At 41.4% G+C, this 13,141-nt stretch overlaps 1 annotated feature.

Moving 5' to 3' along the window:
- Positions 386-586: a silencer, noted in NCBI's record as "peak2318 fragment used in MPRA reporter construct". NCBI's record gives its function as "represses an SCP1 promoter by STARR-seq MPRAs in K562 erythroleukemia cells {active_cell/tissue: K562}" and the evidence as "EXISTENCE:reporter gene assay evidence [ECO:0000049][PMID:32103011]".

The following is a 13,141-nucleotide window of genomic DNA, read 5'->3' as shown; positions in this document are numbered from 1 at the left end:
TGAGCCACAGCTCCCAACCACATCATTTCTTCTTAATGCATTCTTCTCATTTATGTATTGCATTATTCAAAACAATTATTGTTCCAAATTTAGTATATGTGCTGCCTAAGCAAGCTCTATTCAAAAAACTATTGAGTACTTTCTTTGGACTGCACACTCTGCTAGGAACTGGGGATTCAGGAATAACACAGACAATGTCCCTACCTACATAGGGCTCACATTCTGGTTGGTGCCTTTGAGACATTTAAAATGAATGTCAAATAGAAAAAAAAGTCTCCAAGGCATGAAGCTCTGACTACTCGGGAGAAAAAGATTAGCTAGCCAAGCAGATCTTGTCTATCTTTAGTTTTCAGACTTTGGGGATCAAATAGAAGGAAAGCAGAATAGTTTAGAACAAGAAATGAGTCATACTGGAATACAACCAGTGTAAGAAAAAAACAAAAAGCTATAATCTCTGTTTGTCTTCCTTGGAGCAGAGTTCTGCAAAAGAAATCTTTTGATATAGATGTGGGGTTACTTCCTCCTTTCCTTGAATCCTTATTAAAGCTTTTGGTAAACAGCTTTGGTTAATATAATCCTGTTTCTTTTAATGACATTGGTTCACTCTTTAGCTATTACACACTTTCTGACTTTACTTTCATGGATAAGTTGCCATGCCCATGCAAAAATTTAGCCCAAGAATCCAAATGGACCAGATTTTTCAAGCAAAATCTTTGTTTTCTTTTCTTTTTTTTTTTCTTTTTGAGACAGAGTCTCACTCTGTCACCCAGGCTGTAGTGCAGTGGTGCGATCTCAGCTCACTGCAACCTCTGTCGCCCGGATTCAAGCAATTCTCCTGCCTCAGCCTCCTGAGTAGCTGGGATTACAGGCGCCTGCCATCGTGCCCAGCTAATTTTTGTATTTTTAGTAGAGACGGGGTTTCACCGTGTTAGGCAGGACTCGATCTCCTGACCTCGTGATCTGCCGGCCTTGGCCTCCCAAAGTGCTGGGATTACAGGCGTGAGCCACTGTGCCGGGCCCAATCTTTGATTTCTTTGTGTTGGTACAGAGTCCTCTGAATAAAAAAGAAAAGGAAACTATAGGTAATTTTAGAATTCTTTTGGCAAGAAAAGCAATCAATATTATAAACAATACTGCCAGGCCGGGCGGATCTCCTGAGCTCAGGAGTTGGAGATCACCCTGGGCAACATGGTGAAACCCCATCTCTACTAAAATACAAAAAATTAGCTGGGCATGGTGGTGCGCACCTGTAGTTCCAGCTACTTGGGAGGCTGAGCCACAAGAATTGATCGAACCCCAGAGGGAGAGGCTGCAGTGAGCCAAGATCACACCACTGCACTTCAGCCTGGGCAATACAGTGAGACTCTGTCTCAAAACAAAACAAAACAAAAACAATACTGCTACTATTAAATAATAGGCCAGGTGCAGTGGCTCATGCCTGTAATGCCAACACTTTGGGAGGCCGAGGCAGGTGGCTTACTTGAGTCCAGGTGTTTGAGACAAGCCTGGACAACATGATAAAATCCTGTTTCTACAAAATATAAAAATAAGAAAATTATCTGAGCATAGTGGCATTTGTCTGTAGTCCCAGTTACTTGGGAAGCTAAGGCAGGAGAATCACCTGTGCTCATGAGGTCAAGGCTGCAGTGAGCTGTGATTGGGCCACTGCACTCCAGCCTGCGTGACAGAGTAAGACTCTGTCTCAAAAAAAAAAAAATGCAGACATTTATTGAGCATCAGTTAAGTGAAGGAAATTAGAGAATACATAAGGTCATAGTCCTTGGCCTTAAAAAACATGATCATTTCGTATGTCAGGTGCTAGGTACTAGCAGAGATGCAAAAGAAGTATTCAAGAGGGTTCTGGGCTGGGCGCGGTGGCTGAAACCTGTAATCCCAGCACTTTGAGAAGCTGAGGTGGGCGGATCACTTGAGGTCAGGAGACCAGCCTGGCCAACATGGCGAAACACAATCTCCACAAAAAAACTACAAAAATTAGCCAGGCGTGGTGGCAGGTGCCTGTAGTCCCAGCTATTGGGGAGGCTGAGGCAGGAGAATCGCTTGAACCTGGGAGGTGGAGGTTGCAGTGAGCCAAGATTGAGCCACTGCACTCCAGCCTGGGCGACAGAGCAAGACTGCGTCTCAAAAAAAAAAAAAAAAAGAACCCTCCTTTCCATTGTCATGTAATTGGCTTAAGAGACATGTGAACCAATTTTGACCAACAAGTCACAGGAGGTTTGCTGGAAGCCTCTGGGAAAGGAACTTCATTGATCTTGCTGGGTGTTAAGGGGTAGAATGTAGCCTATATAGCCTGATAGTTACTGAAGATCATCTTGAGATTATGGCAGAGGAGGCTTAGAATTAAGCCTATATTACAGAAGGCAGAGGAGAGAGATGGAAAAAACGGAGGTTTTTTTTTTTTTTTTTTTTTTTTTTGAGAAAAAAGGTATCATTCTGTCACCCAGGCTGGGGTGCAAGTGGCGCAATCACGGCTCAATGCAGCCTTGACTTCCCAGGTTCAGGCAATCCTCCTGCTTCAGCCTCCTGAGTAGCTGTGACTACACATATGTGTCACCACACGAGGCTCTGAGTTCTTGATCATGTAATTTTTCCTCTGAGTTAACTAACGCTGAAGCTTTTGTGAGTCAATAAACTTTTGATTTAGGACAGTTTGAATCAGTATTGATGTTATTTGCAGAAAGCATCCTACCTGAAGCTAGGTTCCAACTTTCAAAGACACAGTCTAGTTGGGGAGGCAGGATCACCATATTTCACTGGCTCTCTGATGTACTTCCTTTTCTCCATATTTTTTTGAAGGGGTGGCCTGCCCCTCCACACCTGTGGGTATTTTTAGTCGGGTGGGATGAGAGACTGAGAAAAGAAATAAGACACAGAGACAAAGTATAGAGAAACAACAGTGGGCCCCGGGGACCTGCATTCAGCATACCAAGGTCCTGCACCAGCACCGGTCTCTGAGTTCCCTCAGTTTTTATTGATTATTATCTTCATTATTTCAGCAAAAAGGAATGTAGTAGGAGGGCAGGGTGATAATAAGGAGAAGGTCAGCAACAAACATGTGAGCAATAGAATCTACGTCATAATTAAGTTCAAGGGAAGGTACTATGACTGGACGTGCACGTAAGCCAGATTTATGTTTCTCTCCACCCAAACATCTCAGTGGAGTAAAGAATAACAAGGCAGCATTGCTGTAAACATGTCTCGCCTCCCACCATGGGCGGTTTTTCTCTTATCTCAGAATTGAACAAATGTACAATTGAGTTTTATACCGAGACATTAAGTTCCCAGGGGCAGGCAGGAGACAGTCGCCTTCCACTATCTATCTCAACTGCAAGAGACTTTCCTCTTTTACTAATCCACCCCAGCACAGACCCTTTACGAGTGTCGGGCTGGGGGACGGTCAGGTCTTTCTCATTCCATGAGGCCATATTTCAGACTATCACATGGGGAGAAACCTTGGACAATATCCCGCTTTCAAGGGCAGAGGTCTCTGCAGCTTTCCACAGTGCATTGTGCCCCTGGTTTATTGAGACTAGAGAATGGCGATGACTTTTACCAAGTATACTACTTGTAAACATTTTGTTAACAAGGCACGTCCTGCACAGCCCTAGATCCCTTAAACCTTGATTTCATACAACACATGTTTTTGTGAGCTCCAGGTTGGGTCAAAGTGGTTGAGGCAAAGCTACAAATTAACAACATCTCAGCAAAGCAATTATTTAAAATACAGGTCTTTTTCAAAATGGAGTCTCTTATGTCTTTCCTTTCTACATAGACACAGTAACAGTCTGATCTCTCTTTCTTTTCCCTACATCTTTTAGCATCTCTGAGATGAGGGTGTGTTTCTGAAATCAGAGTATAAAATCATAAAATTATTCTTACTCCTTACTCAAGCAGCAGCCTTTCTTTTTTTCTTTCTTTCTTTCTTTTTTTTTTGGAGATGGAGCCTCACTCTGTCGCCCAGGCCTCAGCCTCCCAAGTAGCTGGGATTACAGGTGCCCGACACCATGCCTGGCTAATTTTTGTATGTTTAGTAGAGACGGGGTTTCACCATGTTGGCCAGGCTGGTCTCGAACTCTCGACCTCAGGTGATATGCCTGCCTCGGCCTCCCATAGTGCTGGGATTACAGGCATGAGCCACCACGCCCCAAGCAGCAGCCTTTTCATAGTTGTCAATGCCTATGCATGTGTGCATGGCCTTGGTCATACTGTTCAGTTGATATTGCTTAAGTTATAGGCACTGTTTGAAATACAGGTATTAAGCTTAATCACCATTTAAAATTAATCATGATTGCATCATGATTCAGAATTGAAATGAAAGTTTATTCTGTCTTCAGAAAAGCCCAGAAACAGCAGCAAAACATACATTGATATAAGTATAGGAAATATTCATCCTTGGAGGAATTACCACAATTCCATACTTTCTTGCAAATACTTTATGCAGGAACTAGGGAAAGAAGACACCCACAAGTATATGGAACTGTGTTATATTCTGTTACTGAGATGCATGCAGAAGGAATGCCATTCACACATCAAACAATGCACCTGAAAGCAAGAAAAAAAAAATGCCAAATCCCTCAGAATACATGTAAGAAATTTCAAGGTCATGATAGGTTTGTGTTATTGCATCACACAGGACTGTCATTAAAGCATTGTGCCATAGAAAATGGAAACATTATCAGGTGCCTTTTGCTTATAGGAAACTAATTGCCAAATTGGTCTTTTAGGCAGATGTGGTCACACCAGTTGTTTATGAGAATTTATTTTCCTGAACTAGAAGAAGAGTTTTAAATAATTTGATCTTATTGATTTTATTTTTGAAGGCCAGATCAACTTCTTTTCTTTGAAAAATTGAGGCATTTTGCTCTTTTTTTTTAATTATTATACTCTAAGTTCTAGGGTACATGTGCACAATGTGCAGGTTTGATACATAGGTATACATGTGTCATGTTTGTTTGCTGCCCCAATCAACTCATCATTTACATTAGGTATGTCTCTAATGCTATTCCTCTCCCAGCTCCCCACCCCACCGACAGGCCCCAGTGTGTGATGTTCCCTGCCCTGTGTCCAAGTGATCTCCTTGTTCAATTCCCACCTATGAGTGAGAACATGCGGTGTTTGGTTTTCTGTCCTTGTAATAGTTTGCTCAGAATGATGGTTTCCAGCTTCATCCATGTCTCTGCAAAGGACATGAACTCAACCTTTTTTATAGCTGCATAGTATTCCATAGCGTATATGTGCCACATTTTCTTAATCCAGTCTATCATTGATGGACATTTGGGTTGGTTCCAAGTCTTTGCTATTGTGAATAGTGCTGCAATAAACATACATGTGCATGTGTCTTTATAGTAGCACGATTTATAATACTTTGAATATATACCCAGTAATGGGATGGCTGGGTCAAATGGTAATTCCAGTTCTAGATCCTTGAGGAATCGCCACACTGTCTTCCACAATGGTTGAACTAATTTACACTCCCACCAACAGTGTAAAAGCGTTCCTATTTCTCCATATCCTCTCCAGCATCTGTTGTTTCCTGACTTTTTAATGATAGCCATTCTAACTGGCATGAGATGGTATCTCATTGTGGTTTTGATTTGCATTTTTCTGATGACCAGTGATGAGCATTTTTTCTTGTGTCTGTTGGCTGCATAGATGTCTTTTTTAGAGAAGTGTCTGTTCATATCCTTTGCCCACTTTTTGATGGGGTTGTTTGTTTGTTTCTTGTACATTTGTTTAAGTTCTTTGTAGATTCTGGATATTAGCCCTTTGTCAGATGGGTAGATTTCAAAAATTTTCTCCCATTCTATAGGTTGCCTGTTCACTCTGATGGTAGTTTCTTTTGCTGTGCAGAAGCTCCTTAGTTTAATTAGATCCCATTTGTCAATTTTGGCTTTTGTTGCCATTGCTTTTGGTGTTTCAGTCATGAAGTCCTTGCCCATGCCTATGTCCTGAATGGTATTGCCTAGGTTTTCTTCTAGGGTTTTTATGGTTTTAGATCTAACATTTAAGTCTTTAATCCATCTCGAATTAATTTTTGTATAAGGTGTAAGGAAGGGATCCAGATTCAGCTTTCTACATATGGCCAGCCAGTTTTCCCAGCACCATTTATTACATAGGGAATCCTTTCCCCATTTCTTGTTTTTGTCAGGTTTGTCAAAGATCAGATGGTTTTAGATGTATGGTGTTATTTCTGAGGCCTCTGTTCTGTTCCATTTGTCTGTATATCTGTTTTGATACCAGTACCATGCTGTTTTGGTTACTGTAGGCTTGTAGTATAGTTTGAAGTTAGGTAGTGTGATGCCTCCAGCTTTGTTCTTTTGGCTTAGGATTGTCTTGGCAATGTGGGCTCTTTTTTAGTTCTACATGAACTTTAAAGCAGTTTTTTCCAAAGGCATTTTGCTCTTTAAGTGAAATTACCAGCACTGTTATTGGAGATACTGTTATTTAGCCCTGATAAAAACCTGTTTCAAAAAGATAACCACTATAGCCATGTGTAATGGTGCACACCTGTAATCCCAGCTACTTGGGAGGATAAGACAGGAGGGTTGCTTGAGCCCAGAAGTTTGAGGCTGTAGTACACAATGATAGTGCTTGTGAATAGCCACTGCACTCCAGCTTGGGCAACATAGTGAGATCTCATCTCTCAAATAAAGAAAAAAGAAAGAAGAAGACCACACTAACTTTGGAACTTGCACCTTTGGAATAAACTTAGCTGGATGGATCCTATATTCTTCTGCAATTAGCATCTGTAATATCCATAGCATAATCCACATTTTTTCTGGAAATGCTTGCATGCGGCAGGATAGAAGTTTCCTAATCTCTTGTGTGTTTTAAATGTTTATAGACATATTTAGATCATAGAGAGACTGCTGTCTGTAAATAGATCTGCTTCTCTAAACAGTCCCTAAATGATCTCTCTGCCTCTTTCCTTGTCTTTCACTTAATTGTATAAGATGCAAAATGTCCTTTATAAAGCCTGATTTGGTTCTACTGCCTGAAGAATAGCATGCAGACTCCTCAGTCTGATATTCAGTTTGATAATGTCAGCCTATATTTCTAATTTTATTTTGTACCATACTCTTTCACATATTCTATACCTCAGTTGCATTAGAGGGCTTGCCTTTTCCCAAACCTACTTACAGTCTCTTATCTCCATATCTTTCCTTATGGTAGTTTCTCCTTGTGAAATCCTTTCCTATCATCTGTCTCTTCCTTTTGGAGTCCTTCCCATCCTTCGTGGCCCAGCTGAAGTAGTGCTATTTTACATCTCCTTATTGAGGGTTAATGCCTCTCTCTCTTATTTTCCTATTATTTTCATTGCATGTGTTGTGTCACTACTACACTTGGTTTATCTTGTATTCAAATTAAGAGTGATTTGTAAATATGTTTGCTCTACTGGACTTGGGCTCCTAAGAGCAGTGACCAAATTTTTCACTAATTTTAGTCATTCGATAATGAATGGGGTTAGTCACTGTGTTAAACACTCTCATGAAGCTTCTAGTCAACAAGGAAAGCCAGACATTAACGAATAATTACAAGTGTGTTGAATATGATGACAGAAAGGTAAGTTTTAATAGGAGCATATTAGAAGGGAACATAATTTAGTCTGAGTAGTTGGGGAAAGCTTCCTGGAAAAAGTAACACTTAAACTGAGATTTAAAGGATAGTACCAGCCTGGTGCTTTGGCTCATGCCTGTAATCCCAGCATTTTGGGAGGCTGGGGTGGGAGAATTACCTGAGCTCAGGAGTTCGAGAACAGACTGGGCAACATAGCAAAACCTTGTCTTTACTAAAAAAACTAAAAAATAATAAAAAATTAGTTGGGCATGGTGGTGTATGCCTATAGTCCCAGCTACCAGGAAGGTTGAGGTGGAAGGATTGCTTGAGCCTGGAAGATGGAGGCTGCAGTGAGCCATCATTGCACCACTGCACTCCCACCTGGGCTACAGAGCAAGACCCTGTGTCAAAAACAAACACACAAACAAACAAATAAACAATAAAAAAAAGTAGGAACCAAAAAGATGAAAATGGGAAGGGAACTGAAAGAGGACAGAAACAGGACAGGAACAGTATCTAAGAAAGCTAAGACTTTAGAAATAATGACATGTTCTTAGTACTGAAAAAAGTCAAGGTTGTGGGAATTTAATAAATGAGGAGGAAAGTGGCACCATGTGAGCCTGTAGAAGCAGACAGCAGCTGAATCACGCTGTCCTAAGAATTTATGATTTTATCCTAGGGGCAGTAGGAAGTAATTGGAGGTTTTAATAAGGGAAATGAGGAGGTCAGAATTATGTTTGTAAAAGCACATGTTGGCTTGGCGCGGGGCTCCAGTCTGTAATCCCAGCACTTTTGGAGGCCGAGGTGGGTGGATCACAGATCAAGAGATAGAGACCATCCTGGCCAACAGAATAGGCAGGAGAATCACTTGAACCCGGGAGGCAAAGGTTGCAGTGAGCTGAGATGGTGCCACTGAACTCCAGCCTGGGCGACAGCGTGAGACTCTGTCTCAAAAAAATAAAAATAAAAAAATAAAAGCACATGTTTGCTGTAATATGAATGTATCTGAGACACAAGAGTTTGTTATTTGTTTATTTTGGTGGGAGGTGGTTTTATTTGTTGTTTGCAATTATTCAGGCAAGAGACTGTGGTAACTTAGACCCTTAGATATTTGCATCCCCTACAAGGTCGAGTACAAGTGTTTGTTTCCAGTGTCATTAATAAATGTTTTTTGAACTGAAGTAAATTAATTGGCTCATAAGTATAAACTCCAAGACACTACAGTCATCAGGAACAAACACTTTTATTTTTTTTTTTGAGATGGAGACTCGTTCTGTCACCCAGGCTGGAATGCAGTGGTGTGATCTCAGCTCACTGCAAACTCCGCCTCCCAGATTCAAGCGATTCTCCTGCCTCAGCCTCCCGAGTAGCTGGGATTACAGGCACATGCCACCATGCCTGGCTACTTTTTTTTTTTTTTTTTTGAGACAGAGTTTCCCTCTTTTGCCCAGGCTGTAGTACAATGGCGCCATCCTGGCTCACCGCAACCTCCGCCTCCCAGGTTCAAGAGATTCTCCTGCCTCACCATCCCTAGTAGCTGGGATTAGAGGCATGTGCTACCATGCCCAGCTAATTTTGTATTTTTTCAGTAGGGTTTCTCCATGTTGACCTGGCTGGTTTCGAACTCCTGACCTCAGGTGATCTGCCCACCTCAGCCTCCCAAAGTGCTGGGATTACAGGTGTGAGCCACTGCGCCTGGCCTAATTTTTGTATTTTTAGTAGAGACAGAGTTTTGCCATCTTGGGCAGGCCGGTCTCAAACTCCTGATCTCAGGTTATCCACCCACCTCAGCCTCCCAAAGTTCTGGGATTACAGGTGTGAGCCACCCTGCCCGGCCATGGATCAAACACTTTTCTTTTTTTGAGACAGAGTCTCGCTCTGTCACCCAGGCTGGAGTGCAGCGGCGTGATCTCAGCTCACTGCAACCTTCGCCTCCCAGGTTCAAGCGATTCTCCTGCCCCAGCCTCCTGAGTAGCAGGGGGAACAAACACTTTTAAATACCTGGGCATTCTTCTCCAAGTGACCTCAGGTCTGTGATTCCAGGTTTCACTAAGTCCAGAGCAAATAATAATTTCTTCTCTAGTGGTCCCTGAAGATCCTGTATCAGGAAGAAAACACTGTAACTAAAACTACTGCCAGTCTCATTTTACAGGAAACTTCTCTATAAACGTCACTTGTTAAGTACTGGTGGAAATGACATTCCTTTCAGTTCAAGAAAGGAAGCTCATTCTTTCTCATTAGTTGCCTCCTGCTTTGGTTGCTAATGTTTCAATGTATGCAAATAAAATCTCTCCCTTACCTTACTTCATAAAACAACAGGTTATGCTTTTAATTTTTTGTGAGGTTAGAAAATCTGTCTAGGTGTAATATTTGGTAATCTTGTGTCAGATTACTTTTATGCTTAGTAATTTTTAAAATTTTCAAGATAGCCATTTATCATCAAAATGGGAAGTGTGTGTGGGTATGAATAAGCACGATTAAAGAAAACAGGCCATGGCCGGGTGCAATGGCTCATGCCTGTAATCTCAGCACTTTGGGGGGCCGAGGTAGGTGGATCACTTGAGGCCAGGATTTCGAGACTAGCCTGGCCAACATGGTGAAACCCTGTCTCTACTAAAAAAATATAAAAAATTAGCCGGGCATAGTGGCGCATGCTTGTAGTCCCAGCTACTCAGGAGGCTGAGGCAGGAGAATCGCTTGAACCCAGGAGACGGAGGTTGCAGTGAGCCAAGATCGTGCCATTGCACTCCAGCCTGAGCAACAAGAGTGAAACTCCATCTCAAAAAAGAAAAGGAAAGAACAGATGAGCAGATATTTAAGGAAAATAGCTAGTTATGAAGCATAATTATTCAGGACAGCTGTGAGATACACATGCGTGCACACACACACACACACACACACACACACACACACCTCTTCTTTCAGATACCAAATAGAGACATGATTAAGTTTCTTTTCAGTGTGACAAAGCAAAGTTGATCCCATTTCCTTCAAACCTACTCGGTTTTCTTATCTATAAAATGGAGATAATACTGTTTACTTCATGAGGCTGTAAGGATTAAATATGTTACATAAAATAACAAGTAAGTACAGTAAATGTTTAATCAATTAAATAATACATAGAAAAAATACTAAGATACTCTACATATCTAGACGCCTTCTCCATACAACCTTAAAGACTTGATATTATTAGGAATGTTTACATTATGAATTGGACTAAGGAACATTTTTAGACAAACTTGAAGTAGTTGCAATTAGTCTTTGGTTCACCTTCCTGCCCCTTTGTGTTCAGGTTCATCCTCTTCTGTATTCACATTCCTGGTGTCCACATGATGGTTTCTAATTGCTTGTTGCTTTCCTTTTTGCAGTCTATTCAGAACTTATTTCTCTGAAAGTATTTCATGACACAGTGTACTCCAAAATGAGGTGTCTTTTTTTCTAACTCTGTTTTTTGTTTTTGAGGCAGAATTTTGCTCTTGTTGCCCAGGCTGGAGTGTAATGGCACGACCTCGGCCTTCTGCAACCTCCATCTCCCAGGTTCAAGCAATTCTCCTTCCTCAGACTCCTCAGTAGCTGGGACTACAGGTGCACATCACCAGATCTGGCTAATTTTTTTGTATTTTTGGTAGATACAGGGTTTCACCATGTTGGCCAGGCTTGTCTCAAACTCCTGACCTCAAGTGATTCGCCCACCTTGGCCTCCTAAAGTGCTGGAATTACAGGTATGAGCCACCACACTCGGCCATTTCTAACTCTGTTTAAACTTTCAACCTCTTCAAAAGGCTCAACTTAGCTAGGCGTTAGGAAGCAAGTGCTCTTACTAAGCTAATTTGAATCAAAGCATTTGGTTAATTTAATCTTTACGCATATTTACAGTTGAGAAAGGACAGTCATTAACCCCAGTGACAATGATTTTGTAGTGGAATTTTAGGCTCTGTAAAGGAGATGTTTTTTAGGTCAGGCAATAATTTAACTGGCAGTAATTCTCAATCTTAGTTGCACTTTGGAATCATTTGAGAAGCTTTTAAAAGATGCCTATTGCCGAGACCCACCCCCAGAGAGTCTAATATAATTGGTCTGGGGTGAGGATCAGAAAGTGGAATTTTTAAAGCTCCCCAGATGGATTCTAATGTGCAGCTATGTTTAAGAACTATCAGGTTAGAATAACCCTGTTTTGATTTAACCTCATTACTAAAAGGTTTTCATTTTTCTATTATGTGAGTCACATACACATTGATTACTATACCTGACAAAAGAAGGTTGGGAAAAGTTTAATGGGACAATATAGAGCATTAATTGTAATTTAAGTGTCATCAAATTCACCTCCCACATTTTACTAATGAAGAAAAAAATTCAAATGGTTAAACTTACAGAGATAGTTAGAGGTGGAGCCAGGGCAAACTTTAAATGACTTAAACAATAGAATATTTTTTAGGATATATTAAAATATCCTAGATTTTTTTTCACTTTTTGAAATTTAATTTAATTAATTTTCTAACGGGCTAAATTTATTTTAAAATAAGAGTCATTCATGCAAATGGCAAAATTCAAACAATTCAAAAAAGTACAAAGTAGAAAAGCACAGGTTAAGGCCAGGCGCGGTGGCTCATGCCTGTAATCCCAGCACTTTGGGAGGCTGACGCGGGTGGATCACCTGAGGTCACGAGTTCGAGACCAGCCTGGCCAACATGGTGAAACCCCGTCTCTACCCAAAATACAAAAATTAGCTGGGCGTGGTGGCAGTTGCCTGTAATCCCAGCTACTCGGGAGGCTGAGGCAGGAGAATTGCTTGAACCTGGGAGGTAGAGGTTGCAGTGAGTCGAGATAGTGCCATTGCACTCCAGCCTGGTGGACAAGAGTGAGACTGCCTCTCCAAAAAAAAGAAAAAAAAAAAAAAAAAAGCAGAGGTTACTTTTCTTTGTTGCCATTTCTGCCACAAAGAATATAACTATTGTCTTCCACAAGGCGGCAGTATTGCTTACTCTTCAACAATCTCCCCATGGCCAGACAGTGACTGCCAGAGTCGACTATGAATATTCAAGTCATTCTCCCAGTGACTGAATCAGTCCCTGGTACTGAAATGCCAGGTCAAAGCCAGATTCCCGTCATGAGAAAAACCAAAAGTGAACAAAGAACTGCACCAGATAGAGCTGTAACTGTGTGGATAAACAGTAGGAAATAGGTTAGGGACGGAGAGAACCAAATGAAGCACAGGGCAGTGGGTTGCCGCCCAGAAAACTTCTATCAATTTCCTATCTCCATGGAGGAACTGCAACAGCTAGGGTCAGTTTTGAGAAAGCGTGCATCCAATTGTGTCATGCACAGAATTTTCTCTTTACAATGAACTGGACCCAGTCAATTCAAGGGTTTCCACAGTATCCCTCATGGCTCCAGAAGTCTCTAGGCTACTAGAAAAGACCTGGATCTTTCAATAGTGCCCTTCCCCAAAAAGAGTTGGGGAGATCATGTTTGAGTTTCCCAACCTTGTAGATTTCCAGCAGGAACAGGTGATAAAAAGCACAGATGGTCCTGTTTTGGTCATTAAATTCTAGCGACATATGGTGAG

Source organism: Homo sapiens, chromosome 15, assembly GCF_000001405.40.
Source record: "Homo sapiens chromosome 15, GRCh38.p14 Primary Assembly".
NCBI classification, from domain to species: Eukaryota; Metazoa; Chordata; class Mammalia; order Primates; family Hominidae; genus Homo; species Homo sapiens.
Note: the sequence above shows the minus strand (reverse complement) of the source record. Positions and strands in the feature narration are given on the sequence as shown.